The 24,948-nt window shown below is 41.2% G+C and overlaps 1 protein-coding gene across 1 annotated transcript in view, besides 3 other annotated features; it reads left to right on the top strand.

Annotated features, from left to right (window-relative positions):
• Positions 15,657-15,706: an enhancer, noted in NCBI's record as "active region_14394". NCBI's record gives its function as "activates an Ori minimal core promoter by ATAC-STARR-seq in GM12878 lymphoblastoid cells {active_cell/tissue: GM12878}" and the evidence as "EXISTENCE:reporter gene assay evidence [ECO:0000049][PMID:35858748]".
• ZNF675 (zinc finger protein 675) overlaps positions 15,924-24,948 on the top strand; it is a 34,412-nt gene continuing 25,387 nt past the window's right edge. Inside the window, exon 1 of the mRNA NM_138330.3 lies at positions 15,924-16,105. Within this exon, the coding sequence (NP_612203.2) occupies positions 16,103-16,105 (3 nt within the window). The 5' untranslated portion in view covers positions 15,924-16,102. The remainder of the gene's footprint in view (positions 16,106-24,948) is intronic.
• Positions 15,997-16,386: an enhancer, noted in NCBI's record as "active region_14393". NCBI's record gives its function as "activates an Ori minimal core promoter by ATAC-STARR-seq in GM12878 lymphoblastoid cells {active_cell/tissue: GM12878}" and the evidence as "EXISTENCE:reporter gene assay evidence [ECO:0000049][PMID:35858748]".
• Positions 16,518-17,488: an enhancer, noted in NCBI's record as "NANOG-H3K27ac hESC enhancer chr19:23868450-23869420 (GRCh37/hg19 assembly coordinates)". NCBI's record gives its function as "activates a minimal SCP1, AML or CMV promoter by ChIP-STARR-seq in naive H9 embryonic stem cells {active_cell/tissue: H9 hESC(naive)}" and the evidence as "EXISTENCE:reporter gene assay evidence [ECO:0000049][PMID:30033119]".

Below are 24,948 nucleotides of genomic sequence, written 5' to 3'. Positions count from 1 at the left end.
CCTAGCTGTCACCAAAATGCATTCTCTTTTACTGTACAACACAGAGACAACAAAATGTGCAGATCCTGTCCAGTTAAACTATAGGTCAGAGTTAATTTCTCAAACTCATCTAGGAATTTTCCTGGATCTTCAGAGAAATGACCAAACTTCTCTTTACATAGAGCCAAATCAGACATAGAAAAGGGGACATGTCCTCTCACAGTGCCTTCTTCCCCATTTGCCACCTCTGTAAGTGGACAGATTTCCCTTTGGAGGTTGATAGGCAGCTCCACTAGAGTAGTACTCGTTGGGCTCAGTTCCTCAGGGAGTGGTGGGTGTAGAGAGGGACTAGTCCGGTAAGGAAGAGGAGATGAAGGATTATCAACAGAACTTTCAGGTGGGCTAGAGGAAGAAAGGACCGACACATCTGAACCTTTAGAGGTGACAGAAGGGTCTGCTCCACTCAAAACTGCACGCTGAACCAGGGGCGGGGGCGGGGGCGGGGGGGGGGCTTGCATTAAAGGATCATCTTGCATGTCTAGCTCTTTTTCTTCTTTTTCTCTCATCAAACATGTTTCACATTATCCAACTAACATAAGTGAGCCAAGCCATGAATCTTATTTTATTTTATTTTATGTTTTTTTTTTTTGAGACGGAGTCTCGCTGTCACCCAGGCTGGAATGCAATGGTGCGATCTGGGCTCACTGCAAGCTCCGCCTCCCGGGTTTACGCCATTCTCCTGCCTCAGCCTCCCGAGTAGCTGGGACTACAGGCGCCCGCCACCACGCCCAGCTAATTTTTTGTATTTTTAGTAGAGGTGGGGTTTCACCGTGTTAGCTAGGATGGTCTCGATCTCCTGACTTCGTGATCCGCCTGCCTTGGCCTCCCAAAGTGCTGGGATTACAGGCGTGAGCCACTGCGCCTGGCCAAGCCATGAATCTTAAACCACAAATGGACTTTGACAAAAATGTCGAATAAGGCAAAGGAAATGAAGAAGATTTAGATGGGAATGACCAGAGCAAGCAGGTTCTGGGCAATAGCGACAGTGTGGATTAAACAAGCAGAGCCAGTTTGCCTGAATCCAAGAAAGGAAAGAATTGTATTTTTAGTGTGCAAAGTGAAACAAAACAGCAAGGAGAAAAGTTCCCTGATTTCCATCCTAGTGCTTCTCGATCACGCCTAGTCACTATAGCAGCAACAAAGCAAAACCACATCTATGTAATTTTATTGCTCATAGCTGTTAAATACTAAATCTCAATTAGCCATTTTGGAGACGGAGCCTTCAATGCTTTTTGTTCCCAATGTTTCACAAGCAAACGGACGGAAATCAGGAGGCACACAGAAAAAGAATAAGTTAACATCCCTAAGATCAGTTAAAGTTTCCTGAAAATGACAGTGAAGACCGGGCTCGGTGGCTCACACCTGTAATCCCAGCACTTTGGGAGGCCGAGGCCGGCGGATCATCTGAAACCAGGAGTTTGAGACCAGCCTGGCCAACATGGTGAAACCCCACCTCTACTAAAAATACAAAAATCAGCCGGGCATGGTGGCAAGCGCCTGTAGTCTCAGCTACTTGAGAGGCTGAGGCAGTAGAACTGCTTGAATCTGGAAGTGGAGGTTGCAGTGAGCCGAGATCGCGCCACTGCACTCCAGACTGGGCAGCAGAGTGAGACACATCTAAAAAATAAAATAAAATAAAATCATGACAATGAAACAGAGACAGCACCCAAGAAATTGATTCATGCAGCAAGGAGAAGGCAGATTAATACAAAGAGCATAGCCTGCAGTGCCAAGCCCGTTTTCAGCTGAGAGGGACTTTACCAAGAGGTCCCTAAACCTTAGAAGGGACTCTAACTCTCCTAAATCAGGCGTCTGACGTCGGGGTCAGTCAAGCATTCTTTCCTTTTATTAAGAGGGGCCTCTAACCCAATCCTATTCTTTAACCGGGTACCCCACCACTTACCCAAAGTCATCCAATCAGTGCTGCAGCCTATTTCCTTTGGGTTGGAGGGTTTCTTTAGTATCGTCCCTTCCGTGGTTCACCAGAAAGATGTTACAGGACCTCAACACTTAGGCAAAGGTAGCCATTGGGTCAGGGTTTCTGCACTATAGTCCCTTCTGTGGTCACCAGAAACATGTTACAGGAAAGGGGTCCCGATCCAGACCCCAACAGAGGGTTCTTGGATCTCACGCAAGAAAGAATTTAGGGCAAGTCCGCAGTGCAAAGCAAAAGCAAGTTTATTAAGAAAGTAAAGTGGTGAAAGGACAGCTAGTCCATAGACAAAACAGGACGTTCCTGAAAGTAAGAGAAGAATGCATCCCCCTAGGTACAATGCTTGTATATGTGGGGAGATGTGTTCTGCTACAAGGGTTTGTAATACATAATTAATTTTCTTACTATATTTTGTGAGAATCGATATTATTATCTTTAAAGCAAAATTAGGAATGCCTTTGTTCTCCAGATGTCAGGATATCTGGACACACCCAAGTCTGAGTCTGTTTGGTAAACATTATTAATTTGTTCCCTTAACCATAAACATTTAGAGGCTAGGAATGCCTAATTTTCTGGGCATACAGCCCAGCAAGCCTAAGCCTCTTTTTTTTTTTTTTTTTTTTTTTTGAGACGGAGTCTGGCTCTGTCGCCCAGGCTGGCGTGCAGTGGCGCAATCTCGGCTCACTGCAAGCTCCGCCTCCCGGGTCACGCCATTCCCCTGCCTCAGCCTCCCGAGTAGCTGGGACTACAGACGCCCGACACCATGCCCGGCTATTTTTTGGTATTTTTAGTAGAGACGGGGTTTCACCGTGTTAGCCAGGATGGTCTTGATCTCCAGACCTCGTGATCCGCCCGCCTCAGCCTCTTAAAGTGCTGGGATTACAGGCCTGAGCCACCGCGCCCGACGTCTCAGCCTCATTTTTGTAGCCCTCACTCAAAATGGAGTTGCTCTGTTTCGAACGCCTCTGACATAACCACTGCAGGAACATACCAAGAAAAAACAAAAGATTTCACAGACCCTTTGAAAAAAGCAGCTTGTTACTGCAAACTCTGTGACACAGCTGAAGAACTGTGAGTTCCCCAAAGTGTAAGAGAAAGAAAGTCTACCTTTGAACACACATCCCCACAGGGGGACCTGAAAAATCCAGATCAAAGGAAATGTATTTAACCTTACCTAGAGCTGAAATGAATTTAGGGAGCTGAGTGAAATATAAAAGAAGCAGCCAGGGAAAGAGCCCATAGGCATTCCCAGTCCCCAGCTCATGACCAAAAGAGTCATACCTGACTTTATCTCACAAGGGTCTTTGTGAAAGGCAGCCAGCAGAATTAGGGAGGGGCCAAAAAAATTAAAAAAGCTTTTAGTGAACTGTGCAATAATTTTGACCAAGCATAAATTTTACTGCGCAGAGTCTGCAGAAGTGAATAGGAAGTGCAGATATAAGCACAGAAGCTGTGCAGCTAAGTGTGTGGGCAGGTGGGGAGGGGTGAAGCCTGAAAGCCTTTCTGACTTTCTCAGGGATAGGCATGTAGCCTGGGGCAAGATCTCAACTCTGCACGCTGGCTGCCTTGATATAAACTCCATGCTTTTGGCAGGACAGGGTGGGAATGGAATGAGACAGGCCTTGCTGGCTGCATGGGAGCTGGGTGAGGCCTGCCACTGCCAGCTTTTTCTCGCTTTTCTTGGTGCTCTGTATGAAGCAGCAAAGGCAGCCATAACCTCCCTTAAAACATAACTCCATTGGCTTGAGAACCACCTCTCCTCCAACAGTGGCTGCAGCAAGCCACACCCCCTGAGAGTCTGAGCTCAGACCGGTCTAATCCTGCCTCTGCCTGATGATTTTTCTCTACTCAACCTGGTAGCCGAAGGCAAAATAAATTAACTTTTGGAAGATCTATGGTCCCACCCATCACCTGAGAATCCTGAACGGGTATCCTGGTTAACTAGGGCAAGTCTATACCCCCTTTCTACTACCACAGCTGGTGTTCTCCTGAAAGCACCACCTTTTGGCTGGAGGCCAACTGACACAAGCCATAACAGCGACTCGTAACAGAACAGCCCTGCTCCAAAGAAAAAAAAAAAGAAAAACTAATTCCACCACCTGTAACATCCTGGCTAACCAGAGGTCCTGAGTCTGTCCACATGACAAATTCACTGCTTGCATAACAAGCAATTGAGAAAACCAATGCACTAAATAAAACTACAACCAAGGTCTCTCACACAGTCAACTTCACTTCCCTGCCACCTCCACTGAAGCAGGTGCTGGTATTCATGGCTGAGAGACCTGAAGACAGATTACATCACAGGACACTTTGTAGACATTCCTCAATATCAGCCTGGAGCTGTAGAGCTCCACTGGTTTACTAGTCCCAGAAGAACAATAACAATCACTGTAGTCTGACTTGCAGAAAGCCCATCCCTAGGAAAAGTGAGAAAGCACCACATCAAGAAATCACTACATGGGACAGAAGAATCTGAACAGGAGCCTTTGAGTCCAAGATCTTTCCACTGAAATAGTCTAGCCAAATGAGAAGAAACCAGAGAAGTAATTCCAATATGACAAAACAAGGTTCTATAACAACCCCAGAATATTGCACTAGCTCTTCTATAATCATTCTAAACCAAGAAGAACTGTCTGAGTTGCCAGAAAATAAATTGAGAAAGTTGATTATTAAGCTACTAGAGAAACCAGAGGAACAAGAAAACCAGCTTAAAGAAATTTAAAAAATTAATACAAGATATGAATTTAAAAATTTCCAAAGGAATAAATACTATAAATTAAAAAACAATCACCACTTCTGGAAATGAAAGACACACTTACAGAAATACAAAATAAACTGGAAAGTTTAAACAATAGACTACAACAAGTTGAAGAAAGAACTTCAGAGCTTGAAGAAAAGTCTTTCAGATTAAATCAGTCTGGCAAAGACAAAGAAGAAAGAATCAACAAAATGAACAAAGCCTCTAAGAAAATTGGGATTATGTTAAATGACCAAACCTAGGAGTAATTGGTGGTCCTGAAAAAAACAAAAAGATAAATTTACATGTTTGGAAATTTTATTTGAGTGAATAATTGAGAAAAAATTCTCAGGTCTTGCTAATGATCTAGACATCCAAACACAAGAAGCTCAAAAAACACTTGGAAAATTTATCACAAAAAGATCATCACCTATTCATGTAGTCATTAGGTTATCTAAATTCATGATGAAGAAAAGAATCATAAGAGCTGTGAGGAAAAGCATTAGGTACCCTATAAACAAAACTTACCAGATTAACACAGTTTACTCAGCAGAAACCCTACAAGAAAGAAGGGACTGGAGTCCTGTCTTTAGCCTCCGTAAACAACACAATTTTTAGCCAAGAATGTTGTATCCAGTGAGGGTAAGCTTCATAAATGAAGGAGAGATAAAGTCATTTTCAGAAAAACAAGTGTTGAGAGGATTTACCAGTACCAAGCCAGCAATAGAAGAAATGCTAAAAGAACTTCTAAATCTTGAAACAAAACCTCAAAATACACCAAAATAGTACCTCCTTAATGCATAAGTCTCACAAGGCCTATAAAACAATAACAAAAAAACTCAAAGATATGCAGGCAACAGCTAACCTGATGAATACAGCAGTACCTCACATCTCAAAACTAACATTAAATGTCAATAACCTAAATGCTCTACTTAAAAGATGCAGAATGGCAGAATAAATAAAAATTTATGGCTAGGCACGGTGGCTCACGCCTGTAATCCCAGCATTTTGGGAGGCCGAGGTGGGTGGTTCACCTGAGATCAGGAGTCCGAAACCAGCCTGGCTACCACGGTGAAACCCCATCTCTACTAAAATAGAAAAATTAGCCAGGTATGGTGGCGTGCGCCTGTAATCCCAGCTACTCAGGGGGCTGAGGCAGGAGAATTGCTTGAACCTGAGAGGCAAAGGTTGCAGTGAGCCAAGATCGTGCCACTGCACTCCAGCCTGGGCAACAAGAGTGACACTCCATCTCAAAAGAAGAAAAAAAATTACCAACCAAGTATCTGCTGTCTTTAAGAGACTTGCCTAACAAATAAAAACTCAAATAAACTTAAGGCAAAGAAATGGAAAAAGATATTCTATGCAAATGGAAACAAAAAGTAAGGAGGAGTAGCTATTCTCATAGCAGACAAAACAGACTTTAAAGCAACAATGGTAAAAAACAAAACAAAACAAAAAAACAAAGAATAACATTATATAATAGTAAAAGAACTAGTCCAAACAGGAAGACATCACAATTCTAAATCCATATGCACCTAACACTGGAGCTCCCAAATTTATAAAACAATTTCTGCTAGGCATAAGAAAGGAGATAGAGAGCAACAAAATAATAATGGGGTACTTTAATACCCCACTGACAATACTAGAAAGGTCATCTAGACAGAAAGTCAACTAAGATACAGTGAATTTAAACTATACTCTAGAATAAATTGACTTAACAGATATTTACAAAACATTCTACTCAACAACTGAAGAATATACATTCTATTTATTAGCACATAAAACATTATCCAAAATAGACCATATAATTAGGCTACAAAACAAGTCTCACCAAATTTAAGAAAATCAAAATTATGTCAAGTATTCTCTCAGGCCACATTGGAATAAAATTGGAAATCAACTCCAAAATAAATCCTCAAAACCATGCAAATGCATGGAAATTACATAACCTGCTCTTGAATAATTGTTGTGTCAGCAATGAAGTCAAGATGGAAATTTAAATTTTTTTATAACTAAACAATAGTAGTGGCACAACCTATCAAAACCTCTGGAATACAGCGGAAGTGGTGCTAAGAGGAAAGTTCATAGCATTAAATGCCTACATCAAAAAGTCTGAAAGGGCACAAATTGAAAATCTAACCTCACACCTCAGGGAACTAGAGAAACAAGAACAAACCAAACCCCAACCCAGCAAAAAACAAAAACAAACAAACAAACAAAAAAACAAACAATAATCAGAGAAGAATTAACATAATTGAAATTTTAAATAGCACAAAAGACAAATGAAACAAAAATTTGTTTTTTAAAAGATAACCAAAATTAATAGACCATTAGTGAGATTAACCAAGAAAAGAAGAAAGAACATCTAAATAAGCTCAATTAGAAACAAAATGTGAGATATTACAACCAGTACCACAGAAATACAAAAGATAATTCATGGCTACTATGAATACTTTTACATGCACAAACTAGGAAACCTAGAGGAGCTGGATAAATTCCTGGAAATGTACAACCCTCTTTGATTAAACCAGAAAGAAGTAGAAACTCTGCATAGACCAATAACAAGTAGTGAGATTGAAACAGTAATAAAAAATTTCCAAAAAAAAAAAAAAAAGTCCAGGACCAGATGGATTCACAGCTGAATTCTATGAGGCATTTAAGGAAGAATTGGTACCAACCTAAATAAAACTATTTCAAAAATAGAGAAAGAGGATATCTTTCCTAAATCATTCCATGAAGCCAGTATCACCCTAATACCAAAACCAGGAAAGAACATAGCACAAAACTACACACTAATATTCCTGATGAACATAGATGCAAAAATTCTTAACAAAATACTAGCTAACCAAATACAACAGCATATCAAATAATAATACACCATGATCAGGTGCATTTTATACCAGGGATGTAGGGGTGGTTTAACATACGTAAGTCAACAAATGTGATACCTCACATAAGCAGAATTAAAAACAAAAACCATATGATCATCTCAACAGATGCAGAATAACATTTGTTTTTCCTTCAGATGAAATCTCTGTCACCTGCACTGCAGTGCAGTGACATGATCTTGGCTCACTGAAACTTCTGCCTCCCGGGTTCAAGAGATTCTCATGCCTCGGCCTCCCAAGTAGCTAAAATTAAAAGTACAGGTGTGCGCCACTACACTCAGCTAATTTTTTGTATTTTGGTAAAGAAAGAGTTTCACCATGTTGCCCAGGCTAGTCTTGAACTCCTGAGCTCGGGCAACCCACCAGTCTTGGCCTCCCAAGCTGCCAGGATTACACACATAAGCCACCACACTCAGACGAGAAAAACATATTTAAAATCCAGCATCTTTTTATGATTGAAACTCTCAGCAAAATCGGCACGGGGGTACATACCTTAAGGTAATAAAAGCCATCTGTGACAAATCCATGGCCAACATTATACTGAATGAGGAAAAATTAAAACTTTCTTCCTGACAACTGGAACAAGACAAGAATGGTCACTTACATCACTTCTATTCAACATAGTGCTGGAAATCCTAGCTGGAGCAATTAGACAATAAAAATAAATAAATAAATTGCATTCAAATCTGTAAAGAGGAAGTCAAGCTGTCACTGTTTTCTGAATTCATGATTTTATACCTAGAAAACCCTAGAGATTTATTAAAAAGCTTCTAGATCTAATGAATACATTCAGTAAACTTTCAGAATACAAAATCAATGTATACAAATCGGCACCACTGCTATACACCAACAGCTACCAAGCTGAAAATCGAATCAAGAACTCAACTCGTTGCAAAAACCTGCAAAAAAATAAAATAATTAGAAATATACCTAACCAAGGAGGTGAAATACATCTACAAAGAAAATTACAAAACACTGCTTAAAGAAACCATAGATATCACAAACAAATGGAAACATATCCCATGCTCATGGATAGGTAGTGTCAATATTGTAAAAATGACCATACTGACGAAAGCATTCTACAAGTCAGTTTTTGTCAAAATGCCACCATCGTTCTTCACAGAATTAGGAAAAGAAATCCTAAAATTCATATAGAGCCTAAAAAAAGCCCACATAGCCAAAGCAAGACTAAGCAAAAAGTAAAAAATCAGAGGCATCACATTACCTAACTTCAAACTATACTACCAGGCTATAGTTACCAAAACAACATGCTACTGGTATGAAAGTAGACACACAGACAAATAGAACAGAATAGTGAACTCAGAAATAAAGCCAAATACTTGCAGCCAACTGATCTTTGAGAAAGTAAATAAATATGTAAGGTAGGAAAAGGACACCCTATTCAACAAATGCTGCTGGGATAATTGGCAAACCACATGTGGAAGAATAAAACTGAATCTTCATCTCTTATCTTATACAAAAATTAACTCAATATGGAGAAAATATTTACATCTAAAACTTGAAACTGTAAACATTGTAGAAGCTAACATCAGAAAAACTGTTCTAGACATTGGCTTAGGCAAATAGTGCATGACCAAGAACCCAAAAGCAAATAAAACAAAAACAAAGAAAAATAAATGGGACTTAATTAAACCAGAAACCTTCTTGACCACAATAGAAATAATCAGCAAAGTAAACTTACAAGCCGCCAAGTGGGAGAAAATCTTCACAGTCTATTCATCCAACAAAAGACAAATATTCTGAATCTACAAGGAACTCAAAAGAATCAGAAAAAAAAAATCCCATGAAACAGTAAGCTAAAAACATGAATAAACAATTCTCAAAAGGAGATATACAAATGGCCAAAAAACATATAAAAACATGCTAAACATCACTAGCTATCAGGGAAATGCAAATCAAAACCACAATGTGATACCACCTTACTCCTACAATGAAGGGGTGGGTTGCCCCTCCACACCTGTGGGTGTTTCTTGTTAGGTGGAACGAGAGACTTGGAAAAGAAAAAGACACAGAGACAAAGTATAGAGAAAGAAATAAGGGGACCCAGGGAACCAGCGTTCAGCATATGGAGGATCCCGCCAGCTTCTGAGTTCCCTTAGTATTTATTGATCATTCGTGGGTGTTTCTCTGAGAGGGGGATGTGTCAGGGTCACAAGACAATAGTGGGGAGAGGGTCAGCAGACAAACACGTGAACAAAGGTCTTTGCATTCATAGACAAGGTAAAGAATCAAGTGCTGTGCTTTTAGATATGCATACACATAAACATCTCAATGCTTTACAAAGCAGTATTGCTGCCCGCCTGTCCCACCTCCAGCCCTAAGGCAGTTTTTCCCCATCTCAGTAGATGGAACGTGCAATCGGGTTTTATACCAAGACATTCCATTGCCCAGGGACGGGCAGGAGACAGATGCCTTCCTCGGGCTGGGGGACGGTCAGGTCTTTCCCTTCCCAGGAGGCCAAATTTCAGACTGTCACATGGGGAGAAACCTTGGACAATACCTGGCTTTCCTAGGCAGAGGTCCCTGCGGCCTTCCGCAGTTTTTGTGTCCCTGGGTACTTGAGATTAGGGAGTGGTGATGACTCTTAAGGAGCATGCTGCCTTCAAGCATCTGTTTAACAAAACACATCTTGCACAACGCTTAATCCATTTAACCCTGAGTTTGACACAGCACATGTTTCAGAGAGCACGGGGTTGGGAGTAAGGTCATAGATTAACAGAATCTCAAGGCAGAAGAATTTTTCTTAGTACAGAACAAAATGGAGTCTCCTATGTCTACTTCTTTCTACACAGACACAGTAACAATCTGATCTCTCTTGCTTTTCCCCACACTACAAGAATGGTCTTAATTAAAAAATTTAAAAATACTAGCTGTTGACAGAAATGTGGTGAAACAAAAGCACTTTTACACTGCTGGTGGGAATGTAAACTAGTACAACCACTAGAGAAAAACAGTATGAAGATTTTTTAAAGAACTAAAGGTAGGGCTGGGAGGGGTGGCTCACGCCTGTAATCCCAGCATTTTGGGAGGCGGAGGCAGGTGGATCAGGAGGTCAGGAGTTCAAGACCAGCCTGGCCAAGATGGTGAAACCCCGTCTCTACTAAACATACAGAAAAAATTAGCCGGGCGTGGTGGCAGGCGCCTGTAATCCCAGCTACTTGGGAGGCTGAGGCAGGAGAATCCCTTGAACCCGGGTGGCAGAGGTTGCAGTGAGCCAAGATCGTGCCACTGCACCCCAGCTGGGTGACAGAGTGAGAATCTGTCTCAAAAAAAAAAAAAAACCCAAAAAACTAAAGATAGAACTATCATTTGATCCAGCAGTCCCACTGCTGGGTATCTACACACACAAAAAGAAATCATTATATTAAAAAGACACATGCACACACGTTTGCAGCAGCATAATTTGCAATTGTAAAAATACAGAACCAGCCTAAATTCGTATCAACCAATGAGTGGATAAAGAAATGTGATATATATGTGTGCATATATATATATATATATATATATATATATATATATATTTCACATTATATATATACACGCATATATATCACTATATATATATACACACACACACACACACACACACACACACACAAACGCACACAAACAATGAAATACTACTCAGTCAAGAAAGGAACAAAATATTGGCATTTGAAGCAACCTGGATGGAGTTGGAGACAATTATTCTAAGTGAAGTAACTCAGAAATGAAAAACCAAATAGTGGGAGCTAAGCTCTTATGCAAAGGCATAAGAATTATACACAGAACTCTGGGGACTCAGGTGGAAGGGCAGGAGGTGGGTGAGAGATGAAAGACTACACATTGGATACAGTGTACACTACTCAGGAGATGGGTGCACCCAAATCTCAGAAATTACGACTAAACAACTTATCCATGTAACCAAACATAACCTGTACCCCCAAAACTATTAAAATAATAATAATAAACCAAAAAAAACCCCATAACATTAAGTTCATGTGCTTTGGCCTTTTTTAAAGAAAGGTTCTCACTCTATTACTTAGGATGGGGTGCAATAGCCTCATCATGGATCACTGCAGCCTCAACTTTCTGGACTCAGGCAGTCCTCCTACCTCAGCCTCCTGAATAGCTGGTATTACAGGTGCAGGCAACCATGCCCAGCTAATTCTTGTATTTTTTGTAGACATGGGATTTTGCCATGTTGCCCCAGCTGGACTTGAATTCTTGGGCTTAAACAGCCTTCCTGTCTTGGTCTCCCAAAGTGCTGGAATTACAAGCATGAGACACCATGCCTGATCAGAATCTTATTTTTATGTAATATAAAAAAGCTAAATATATTTAGATTTGTTATTTTAAAAAAATTTAAAAAATATTTATTTAAAATATAAAATAAATTTTGTCTACAAATACTGAAACAGTTCAAAATTGCTTCCTAGGAATTTCACTAAAAGGTTGTTAAGAGTTAATGAGGCCAGGCACTGTGGCTCATGTCTGTAATCCCAGCACTTTGGGAGGCTGAGGCGGGAGGATTATGAGATCAGGAGATTGAGACCATCCTGGCTAACACGGTGAAACCCCATCTCTACTAACAATACAAAAATTAGCCAGGCATAGTGGCATGCGCCTGTAGTCCCAGCTACTCTGGAGGCTGAGCCAGGAGAATTGCTTGAACTTAGGAGGCAGAGGTTGCAGTGAGCTGAGATCCCGCCATTGCACTCCAGCCTGGGTGACAGAGCTAGACTCCATCTTAAAAAAAAAGAGTTAATGTGATTTATATATAATTAAATCAATTAGATGTACGAAAAACAATTCTGCATAGAGTGTAGAAACGAAAGCAAAAAATGCTTTTGATGAAGGAAGTTAGAAACATTTAGTGTAGTTTGAAATTACTTAATGGTTGTGTCAAATTGAAAAAATAAAATAGTAGATAAAAATAAAATATAAAAAGTTTAAATGATTATGAGAGATTATAACATATTTATGGAAATCTAGATTGGCCAAAAATGACAAATTTGATGAATTTACTTGTAAGGTTTTATTAAAATTAGCTTTACCATTGATAATACACTAATTAAAAAGTATAACAATTTTCTCTTGAACACAAATTTTATGTATTATTAGACCCCTAACTTTTTTTTTCTTTTTTATTGAGACAGCATCTCACTCTTTCACCCAGGCTGGAGTGCAATGGCATGATCTCGGCTCACTGCAACCTTCACCTCCCAGGTTCAAGCAATTCTCCTGCCTCAGCCTCCCAAGTAGCTGGGATTACAGCGGCTTGCCACCACGCCTAGCTAATTTTTTGTATTTTTAGTAGAGACAGGGTTTCACCAAGTTGGCCAGGCTGGTCTCAAACTCCTGACCTCAGGTGATCCACCTGCCTTGGCCTCCCTAAGTGCTGGGATTACAGGTGTGAGCCACTGGGCACGGCCTAGACCCCTAACTTTTGGATGCTACAGAGGGTCTATGCAACATCCAAAAGAGTAAAAAACGTAATTATTTGATATGTTAAATTACATGAAAAGCATTGTTGAATTAAAGATAATGTTTGATCTTCTTCAACTTCTATTTTAATATATATTAACATTTATTTCATAATATTATGAAATTTCTAAAAATCTTATATATCTGAGTATAAGCTATTAGTCATAATTATGGTTATGATAAGTTATTGCAGGTCACAGACATAATAAGTTTGTTTCATTTGTTTCTTTATAATTATTTGAAGTCATTTCTACAGTTAATGGTTTAATTCTGATGTAGTTTCTACAAACTTCAAAAACATGCAAAATCCTAGAGTACTGTGTCTGTAAGGAGATTCATGAAAAGATGAAAATAGCCCAGACAAGTTGAGTACAGGTTTCTGATAATTTTAAAATTATATTGTTTGGACTGGGTAAGGATTGTGAGAATTCTAAAGAACACACTGATTCATAAAACTGCTAATTCAGGAAAAACAAAAATAGTTGAACATCAGGAAAATACTCTGCCACTTTTTTTTTTTTTTTTTGAGACAGAGTCATGCTCTGTCACCAGGCTGGAGTCTCAGTGGCGTGATCTCAGCTCACTGCAACCTCCGCCTCTCCAGTTCAAGCGATTTTCCTGCCTCAGCCTCCCGAGTAGCTGGGACTGCAGGCATGTGCCACCACACCCAACTAATTTTTGTATTTTTAATAGAGTCGGGGTTTTGCCATGTTGGCCAGGATGGTCTTGATCTCTTGACCTCGTGATCTGCCCTCCTTGGCTTCCCAATGTGCTGGGATTATAGGCATCAGCCACTGCGCCTGGCCTCTGACACATTTTTGTGTTAAATAAACCAGTACTAAAATTTTTTAGATATGCCATTTGAATAAACTTTGTGATTCAAGTCAGATTACCTATGATTACCCCTCAGTTATCAGTGTTATACACCTAAATTGAAGAAACAAACCTGATATTTAAGCAGACATAAATTCAGTAATAAATGTGAACTCATGGAGAACCTAGACAGCCAACAGCCACTTGCTCATTCCTGAGTTTGGAAGGGCCCTTCTGAATTGTGAGATGATGTACCCAAGGTTAAAGGTCCTGAAGTGTTCCCGAAGGACATGTTGACTCTCATACTTGGGCCAGGAATATGTCACAATATTTTCTGAGGGCAGGGACCAGACAGGAGTGTCACATCACCTAAATAGGAATATGTTACAACCTTCTCCTGACAGCAGGACACAGGCAGCAGAGTCACATCACCTGGGTGCTGAGCCCAGCAATAGGTAACAATGCTTTCTGTGGCTCAAGGCCCAGGCAGGAGAGACACATCACCTGCTACCTAGGCTTAATGATAAGTCACAATTTTTCCTGTGGGCAGAGTGCAGGGAAAAATGGACAGTTGCATCTCTTAGGTGATTGATGCAGAGATATGTCACAAGGCCCTCTGTAAAAAAGGCTCAGGCAAGGGCCTCCCATTTTATATATGTTGGGCCTAGTAATATGTTCTATTGTGCAAAATATTCTGGGCCTGGGTAAAAGAAGAGAGCCACATAACCTGAATGCAGAACTTAGCAATATGTCATGATGCACCCTGTGGGTAGCGCCAATGCAAGAAAAAAGACTCACATTACCTTTATTCTTGACTTAAAGTCTTATGTCTTGTAAGAGAATATTGAATAATGCAAAAATACATGTAGACATGTCTGCGTGTGATTGGTGCTTATACTCACACAGTTCACCACACCACAGGAGAAAACAGATAACCACAGGCTGACCGTTAGGGCCAAGGCCAAATAGCAAAATAAGTTTGCCTTTAATCTATTTTCTCCATATCTAAACATTGGAGGTTAAGACTGTGGACAGATCTGAAGATACAGAGTTTTCTTGTTTTGTGGCTTCATCATTCTTTGTTCACTGTCTGATGTTTGGAATTAAGGTGAGCAACAGGTGGGCAGCAGTAGTTAATAAAATAACCAGAGGTAACCACAGGTCGACCTGTGGTTATTTTATTCTATCTGTCCTCTGTTCTTTCTATGGTCACTAACTGTTTTTTCCTTGGAATTGAAGAGAGATGTTGGTAGAGAGAGGCTGTCCCCTCACCTCTGGCAAAAAAGGGATGTTCAGGCTCTTCTTCACCCCCCTGACATCAGAGCTGCATTTTAATGTGGCAGCTATTGGCCACGTGTGGCTACTGGGTGCCTGGAATGTGGCTGGTCTGAATTGCAATGTGTTAGGTAAAATAGAGTTATTTTCAAAGATTTAGTTCCATATATGTGTGTGTGTGTGTGTGTGTGTGTGTGTGTGTGTATACACATATATACATATATATGTGTATTTCATCAATAATTTCATATTGCTCTCATACTAAAATGATAGTACTTTGGATATATTGGGTTAGATTGTTACAATCAATTCCACTTGTTTTTTTCTTTTTAAAGTTTGACTACTAGAAAATTTAAAATTCACATGTGGCTCACATTTTATTTGAGGATTGCCTCTTTTTAAAATTCTCAGGCTGCCTACTCAAAGGACCAGAAGCCAGGAAGGTCATAAAGTCTGAAATTCTAAAATAATTATTATTATATTATTTTTCTTTGTGAGTAGCCATATATCATTTATAAATGTATATGACCTTATACACAAGGTTAAATACAAATACCCTATGGGATGGGCCTGGCTCAGCTAAAAGAGGAAGCCCCGGCTGAAAAGGCTGCAGCGCAGGCTATCAGTCTTCACTCAGCCCAGTGTCTGATCACATCTTCTGTCACTCAGGGCCTGAAGGGTCAGGACCTTAAACGTTGTCCAATCAGGCACGCTGGGCTGGGAACCGTCCAATCAGGCACGCAGCTGGAGCAGACAAGATGGCTTCCGGGATTTGGCGGCGCCTTTGTCTCTCGCTGCAGCCGGAGCTCCAGGTCTCGCTTTCATTGCTCTGTGTCCTCTGCTCCTAGAGGTCCAGCCTCTGTGGGCCTGTGACCTGCAGAAATTGAGAGATCCACAGCTAAGACTCCAGGACCCCCTGGAAGCCTAGAAATGGTGAGAGTTACGGGTGCGACATCCCGAGAGGGGGAAGGGGCTGGTTGGAACCCGTGGGAAATGGCTATGGCGGGACTCAGGCCTCCCCGCAGTCAGCTCCACAATCTGCACCCCGAGTTCTCCTTCCCCAGCTCGGCTCAGTCCCCTGCAGCCATAAGATGGCGGCGCGCTGACAGCCAGCCCCGGGGCATCCCGTCTCTTCTCTGCCTAGTGACTGTGCCCTGGCCTGTAGCCCTCTCTGGGCAGCTCTGTACCCGCAGCGCCGCATTTCTCTCAGATTGTGCAGGGACCACAGGAGGGCCGTCACCGGAGAATCCTGACTCAGGGTGCGGGTTCATTAATGGGAAGAGTTTTGGTCCGTGGGGTTCCCAGTTCCTGTTTTCTCCTATTAAAATTTTATGGGAGGGCCGGGCGCGGTGGCTCAGGTCAGTAATACCAGCACTTTGGGAGACCGAGGTGGGTGGATCACCTGAGGTCAGGAGTTCAAGACCAGCCTGACCAACATGGTGAAACCCCGTTTCTACTAAAAATACAAAATTAGCCGGGCGTGGTGGCACATGCCTGTAATCCCAGATACTCAGAAGGCTGAGGCAGGAGAACCGCTTGAACCCGGGAGGTGGCGGTTGCAGTGAGCCGAGATGACGCCATTGCACTCCAGCCTGGTTAACAAGACCGAAACTCCGTCTTAAAAAATATATAAATAAATAAGTTAAATAAATAAATAAATTATGGGGATCACCACAAAAATATTGGAGAATTTAATCAAAGAGTGATTCAAAAATTGTGGAGCATTCAGCTGTGGTTTGGAGCTTGTGACTTTATGAGAGCAGCTTGAAGGAAAGACTTTTAAAGGTACATGATGAAGAAAACCAAATTAAATAATTGGTTAGGTACAGTTCATAGTTACTTGACTTGTACAATTAAGGTGGACATTTCCTGGTTATGTAATCAGAGGTTAATTGGCAGTTTATGATTGGTTAAGCCTAAATTTTTGTTTCCCTCAATTCAGTAATTTGCAAAAAAATGCATTTGAGTTAGAGTTTTTAAAAAATAGGAACCCAGGGACTAGAGTAACCTCCGTCTAATTGCCTGCTACTTAGTTATTTTCACACTCCACAGGAGACTGATTTTCCCCTGCATTTTTCACAGTTCTCTCAAGCTGGGTCTCAAGCCTACCCCTCATCCCATTCCTCCAGACTAACTATGACTTGCAGTAAAATACTAAATTTCCAGTTTCTTCTCACATTCTCAAATGCCAGCTTCCCCTTTCTAATTCACATTATCAACTATTTGTCTTTTATTGTACACTTTAGATACTGTATTTTAACTAAGCATTTTTTGACATTGAATGGCACTTAAAAAAATCGTTTTCTGTTTGAAAATATTTTTTATGAGAAGAAAAAGAAGAACAATTCCCTGATACTGTATTGTAAAAAATCTTTTCGCCTCATTTTTAAAAATCTTCTCTAGGCACAGAGATAGTATCAGAATATTTTTGGGTCAAGGTTTCCCTTTGGAAACTTTATGGGTGATGTGGCCTCAGCCACCTTCAGTTTTTTCTGGTCCTGGGCTTCAGTAGTTTCTGTGAATAAACCAATATATCTACCATGGCTATGTCTGCTCGAGTGTCTAGTGAATATAATCTACTGGGTTATTTTCTTTCATAAAACAACCTGAGGTATGGAGTGTAGCCTCTCAATGGAAACAGATGAATGCCCTTGGACTGATAGGACTCTCCCCTGCGCTCTTCCTTTGAAAAACTAACCCTTGCGTGCACGGTGGTGCACACCTGTAATCCCAGCACTTTGGGAGTCTGAGGCGGTGGATCACCTGAGGTCAGGAGTTCGCGACCAGCCTGACTAACATGGTGAAACCCCATCTCTACTAAATACAAAAAAATTAGCTGGGCGTGGTGGTGGCTGCCTGTAATCCGAGCTATTTTGGAGGCTGAGAGCCGAGATCGCACCATTGGATTCCAGCCTGGGCACCAAGAGTGAAACTCCATCTCAAAAAAAGAAAAACTAAGCCTTTGAGACATGAAGATTGCCTTTACTCAACCCAGCTTCCATTTCTTGGAGACATATTGCTGGTCAGCCAATCAGATGCTGGTATTGAGGGAAAAACACAGAGATAATTTCTGTCCCCTGAATTGTCTAAGATTTGTGAAAGAAAAAATAGCATTTCAAAAGACAAAAAAAAGTGACCTCAGTGAAATGATGCAAAAACTTGCAAAGTAAAATGCACTTGGGGCAGTCACTGAGGCATAGTGCAGTGAGAGGGTGGTCATTGAGCACTTAAGTGAGCAGGATGGGGTGGGAGAATCTCTCAAGTGATTGGTGACCTGACTTGACACATGAATTAGACACACCTGTTTTCTTTTTTTTTTGAGATGGGGTTTCACTCTTGTTGCCCAGGCTGGAGTTCAATGGTGCCATCTCGGCTCATGGCAACCTCCGCCTCCCAGGTTCAAGCGATTCTCCTGCCTCAGCCTCCTGAGTAGCAGGGATTACAGGCATGCACCACCATGCCCAGCTAATTTTGTATTTTTAGTAGAAACGGGGTTTTCCCGTGTTGGCCAGGCTTGTCTCAAACTCCCGACCTCAGGTGATCCGCCCCTCTTGGCCTCCCAAAGTGCTGGAATTACAGGCATGAGCCACTGCCCTGGGCCAACACATCTGTTTTCTAATCAGCATTGCCACTCCCTAGTTTGTCACCTTGAAAAGATTAGTGCACTTATTTTGACTTTAGTTTTTTTTTTTTTTTTTTTTTGAGACGGAGTCTCGATTTGTTGCCCAGGCTGGAGTGCAGTGACATGATCTGGGGTCACTGCAAGCTCTGCCTCCCGGGTTCAAGCCATTCTCCTGCCTCAGCCTCCCGAGTAGCTGGGATTACAGGTGCCCGCCACCACGCCCAGCTAATTTTTTTGTATTTTTAGTAGAGACGGGGTTTCACCGTGTTAGCCAGGATGGTCTTGATCTCCTGACCTCGTGATCCGCCCTCCTCAGCCTCCCAAAGTGCTGGGATTACAGGCGTGAGCCACCACGCCCAGTCAGTGACTTTAGTTTTTTTAAATGTAAATTGCATTTTATTAGTAGCATTTGAAAGGGAAGAAAATATGTGCAAAGAGCATGTAAGAGTTGGGTTTCAGAAAAAAAAAATTTAATTATATATTCTATTTGTTAAAAGTTTTTATTTACCTTTTTCTTTCCCAGAGTGAGTTTAGAAAATTTGTCAGTTGTGTTTATGGCTGGGTAATTTCAAACAGAATTCCAAGGTTTAGCTGTTAGAATCCTACTAAGGAAAAGAATAAGGGCCAGGTGGGGTGGCTCACACCTATTATCCCAGCATTTTGAAAGACTGAGGTGGGCAGATCACGAGGTCACGAGTTCAGGACCAGTCTGGTCAATATGGTGAAACCTCATCTCTACTAAAAATACAAAAATCAGCCGGGCATGGTGGCACGTGCCTGTAGTCCCAGCTACTTGGGAGGCTGAGGCAGGAGAATCGCTTGAACCCAGGAGGTGGAGGTTGCAGTGAGCCGAGATCGCACCACTGCACTGCAGCCTGGGAGTCAGAGCGAGACAATCTCTCTTCCTTTTTGGCTGTAAAAATTAAATACCTTTCCACAAGAAAATGTAGTAGATAATTGGTGAGTTACATAGATTCATGAAAACATAGTTCCTCTTTTTGCACCATAAATTTGTGGCAGTGAATATCTGTTCTATATCCTATGATCTTGATTTCTGAATTTAATGCTAAGTGTTATGAGATGAAATTTGGTACCTCCTAGAAGTGTTCTCATATGACTAATTGTTTACTAGATAACTTTCTTTTTTTTTTTGAGACTGAGTCTCGCTCTGTTACCCAGGCTGGAGTGCAGTGCCATGATCTCAGCTCACTGCAACCTTCCGCCTCCCAGATTCAAGTGATTCTTCTGCCTCAGCCACCCGAGTAGCTGGGATTACAGATGCGCACCACCACGCCTGGCTAATTTTTGTATTTGTAGTAGAGATGGGGTTTCACCATGTTGGCCAGGCTAGGCTCGAACTCCTGACTTCAGGTGACCTGCTGGCCTTGGCCTCCCAAAGTGCTGGGATTACAGGTGTGAGCCACCGTGCCCGGCCTACTACATAACTTTTAAAATAAATAATAAAATAATACTTTAATTGTTTGAAAGGTGTAGATACTTTTGGTTTTCTTACAGAGGTATGAAATGGAAGCACCTTAAAATTTTCTTTTTATATACTAACACTGCGTTTCAGTAATTTTGCTGGATTTTTCAAACACATAGTTTCAGACACCAAGTGAATAACTCAGACATGAAAATTAAAGCTTGAGCCCATCTAAAGCTAATATTGAGCCTGCAAAAGGAGGTTATTAAAGGCCCAGTTAGTTCTTTCTGGGGAGCCTTTTCTGCAGATATGTCAGCCTGCTCACCCCAGCCATGGAAGAAGGCTTTATCCTGAGAGAAGCTTGAGAGCCCTGGGAAGCTGGGGATGCACAGGCAGGTGCAGTTAAGGTTAAAATGAAAAAGTGCTGTGAAGGTCTTACTGAAGATAAGTATTATTGTTTTGAGGCAGTTTCTAAATTTTGTAAAATTAAAGTTATAGATTTATGTAAAAAAAATTTTAATTCCAAAGGAGTATTGCAACAGGAGGAAGTACCAACTATTATTGCAAAGTTCAGGCAGACTTTTTTTCCACAGAGGGGAGAAAACAAGATTAGAAAGAAAATAGCAGAAGAATGGTGAATAGAGAGTGAAAAAGTCAGGTTTTAGATCAGAAAATGTTTTACCCTGAAGTTAGCATATTCTTAGGGTGAACATAAAATGGGGTTGTATGTTGGCTCAGACTGAGTGTAGCTCAAAGTTTAGTTGCTGTGGGAAAAAGAAGTTTGATTAAGAAGTATTTTATTTTGACCACTGAAGACAAATTTAGCTGATTTTTTTAAGAAAAGGAAGAAAATATGCAGAGTCTATGTCTGGCTCTACAACAGGTGAGAAAAGAGAGAGCACCATCTAAGTCATAATAAGAGGGTATTTCTTTTGAAAAACTATTTTTGGAGAATACAAAGATGGAGAATTTTATTAATCATAGCTCTTTACCAGGATTATCTATGTGCTTCATTTTTCCCCACCTTTTTTCCTGGTCCTATGTATTTCTTCCATTTGACTTTTTCTGAGTTGTATCTTTTATAATAAACTGGTAAAGATAACTACAGTGTTTCACTGAGTTCTGTGAATAGCTCTGTTATATTACTGAACTTGAGGAAAGTTCTGGGAGTCCCCAGTTATTAAACAGTGGCTCAGAAGCATAGATCAGCCCATGAAGTTTGTGACTGGCATCTGCAGTAAAGACAGTGTTGTGGATTGTGCTCTGAATCAGGGTCTATGCTGACTCTGGGTGGTGTCAGAATTCAAACGTTAGACAATGAGTGTTGGAGGATTGCTTGGTGTTCAGTAAACTCTACAGATTTGGTGCCAGAAAAAAGATATCACAGAGGCCTGGCCTGGAATGGAACTCTGGGTGCCTGGAATGGGAGGCTCTGCTCTCCTGTACACAAGCTCGTTGTCCTGTGATTTCAGGTCTCCTCCAAGGGTGAGGGAGGACTGAAAACTTAAAGGACAAGAGCTGTGATAACAAACCCCACTTTCCCACAGCTACCACCACAAGATTTCCACCCACTCACAAACACACCCACTAGACATTGACGTGCCCACACCCCTCCCAGGACTAGGTACCACCCTCAGAAAATTCACAACAGCATTGTTTATCCTAGTGCTTCTTGCGAAAAACCCAAAAAATGACTATGTCTCCTGGAATATCCCCACCTGCAGACACTGAATCTGCAGCAGTAATCTGTTTTCTCCACCATCCTAGGGTTTTGACCAACTGTTCATAATCTCTTCTGCCTTCATGGGCACAAAAATAAATCAGTGTAGCCTCACCTAAGCCACTATCTGTAGTACAAACCAGTCCTTCCACTTACATTGCACTCTCCTCCACCCATGGATTTTTTACTTTTAACTTTTATTTTTGGTTCATAAGTACATCTGCAGGTTTGTTTTATAGGTAAAATTGTGTCATGAAGGTTTGGTGTGCAGATTATTTTGTCACTGAGGTACTAAGCATGGCACCAAACAAGTATTTTTTTCTGATTCTCTTTGTCCTTCTACTCTCCACCCTCAACTAAGTCTCAGTTTTTGTTGTTCCTCTCTTTGTGTCCATGTGTTCTTATTATTTAGCTCTTATTATTATTATTTTTTTAAATTTTTCTGAGACGGAGTTTTGCTCTTGTTGCCCAGGCTGGAGTGCAGTGGCACGATCTCAGCTAACTGCCACCTCCATCTCCCAGGTTCAGGCGAATCTCCTGTCTCAGCCTCCCAAGTAGCTAGGGTTACAGGCGCCCACCACACCTGGCTAATTTTTGTATTTTCAGTAGAGACAGGGTTTCACCATGTTGGCCAGGCTGGTCTCAAACTCCTGACCTCATGATTCACCCACCTCAGCCTCCCAAAGTGCTGGGATTACAGGCCTGAGCCACTGCCCCCAGCCAGTTCTTATTTATAAATAATAACATGCATTTGATTTTCTGTTTCTGCATTAGTTTTCTAAGGATAGTGGTCTCTAGCTCTGTACATGTTGCTGCAAAAGAAATGATCTTGGTCTCTTTTTATGGCCACACAGTGTTCCATGATGTTTATGTACCTATTTTATTTTTATTTTTTTGAGACGGAGTCTGGCTTTGTCCCCAGGCTAGAGTGCAGTTGTGCAGATGTCAGCTCGCTGCAACCTCCGCCTCCTAGGTTCAAGCGAGTCACCTGCCTCAGCCTCCCTAGTAGTTGGGATTACAGGAGCCTGCTACCACACCCAGCTAATTCTATTTTTAGTAGAGACAGGGTTTCACCATGTTGGCCAGATGGTCTCGATCTCTTGACCTCGTGATCTGCCCGCCTAGGCCTCCCAAAGTGCTGGGATTACAGGCGTGAGCCACCGCGTCTGGCCATATTTTGTTTTTATTAATGTTTTTTTTTGGGGGGGGGTACGGAGTCTCGCTCTTGTTGCCCAGGCTGGAGTGCAGTGGTGCAATCTCGGCTCACCACAACCTCTGCCTCCCTGATTCAAGTGATTCTTCTGCCTCAGCCTCCCAAGTAGCTGGGATTACAGGCACCTGCCACCACGCCTGGCTAAGTTTGTATTTTTAGTAGAGATAGGGTTTCACCATGTTGGCCAGACTGGTTTCAAACTCCTGATCTCAGGTGATCCACCTGCCTCTGCATCCCAAAGTGCTGGGATTACAGGCATGAGCAAGTAGGTTGTGGTGCCTGGCCACCTACTTTTTAATGAGGTTTTTTTTTTTTTCTTGTAAACTTATTTAAGTTCATTATGGATTCTGGATATTAGACCTTTGTCAAAAGCATAGTTTGCAAATATTTTCTTTTATTCTGTAGGTTGTCTTTACTCTGTTAATAGTTTTCTATGAAGAAACTCTTCAGTTAGATCCCATTTGTCAATTTGTTGCAATTGCTTTTGGTATCTTCATTATAAAATTTGCTGGTTCCTGTGTCTGGAATGATATTTCCTAGGTTATCTTCCAGAGTTTTTTATAATTCTAAGTTTTACATTTAAGTCTTTAATTTATCTTGTTAATTTTTGTATATGTTGTAAGGAAGGGATCCAGGGTTAGCCTTGTACATAGTGCTAAATAGTTATTACTGCACCATTTATTAAATAGGAAATTATTCCCATATTTCTCTTTGTCAGTTTTGTTGAAGATCGTATGGTTGTAAGTGTGTGGCATTATTTTTAATAAGATTATTTAAATATTTACATTTAATTTTTGTTCTCTTTTTTTTTTTTTTTTTGAGACGGAGTCTCGCTCTGTCGCCCAGGCTGGAGTGCAGTGGCACGATCTTGGCTCACTGCAAGCTCCGCCTCCCGAGTTCATGCCATTCTCCTGCCTCAGCCTCCCAAGTAGCTGGGACTACAGGTGCCTGCCACCACGCCCGGCTAATTTTTTGTATTTTTTAGTAGAGATGGGGTTTCACCGTGTTAGCCAGGATGGTCTCGATCTCCTGACTTCGTGATCCACCCGCCTCGGCCTTCCAAAGTGCTGGGATTACAGGCATGAGCCACCACGCCTGGCCAGAAATTTAAATGTTTACATTAAAAATTTAAATAACATTTAAAATTAAATAGGAAATTATTCCTGTATTTCTCTTTGTCAGCTTTGTTGAAGATCAGATGGTTTTAAGTGCGTGGCATTATTTTTTGGCTCTCTATTCTGTTGCATTTGTCTGAGTCTGTTTTTGTTCCAGTACCATGCTGCTTTGGTTACTGTAGCTTTGTAAGATAAAGTTGGGTAATGTAATGCCTCCAGCTTTGTTATTTTTGCTTAGAAAAGTGCCTTGGCTATTAGAGCTCTTTTTTGGTTCCATATGTATTTAATTTTTTTTTTTTTTAAGTTAAGAATATTTTTGAGGCCAGGTGTGGTGGCTCATACCTGTAATCCCAGCACTTTGGGAGGCCGAGGTGGGTGGAGCACTCGAGGTCAGGGGTTCGAGACCAGCCTGGCCAACATGGTGAAACCCTGTCTCTAATAAAAATACAAAAAATTAGCCTGGTGTGGTGGCATATGCCTGTAATCCGGCTACTTGGGTGGCTGAGGCAGCCTTGAACCCAGGATGTGGAGGTTGCAGTGATCCAAGACCTCACCACAGTACTCCAGCCTAGGCGACAAGAACCAAACTCCGTCAAAAAAAAAAAAAAAGAATATTTTTGATAGTTTCATAGAAATAACATATCTGTAAATTTCTTTTGGTGGTATGGCCATATTAATACCGA

The sequence above is a fragment of the Homo sapiens genome, chromosome 19, assembly GCF_000001405.40.
Source record: "Homo sapiens chromosome 19, GRCh38.p14 Primary Assembly".
Lineage (NCBI taxonomy): Eukaryota > Metazoa > Chordata > Mammalia > Primates > Hominidae > Homo > Homo sapiens.
Note: the sequence above shows the minus strand (reverse complement) of the source record. Positions and strands in the feature narration are given on the sequence as shown.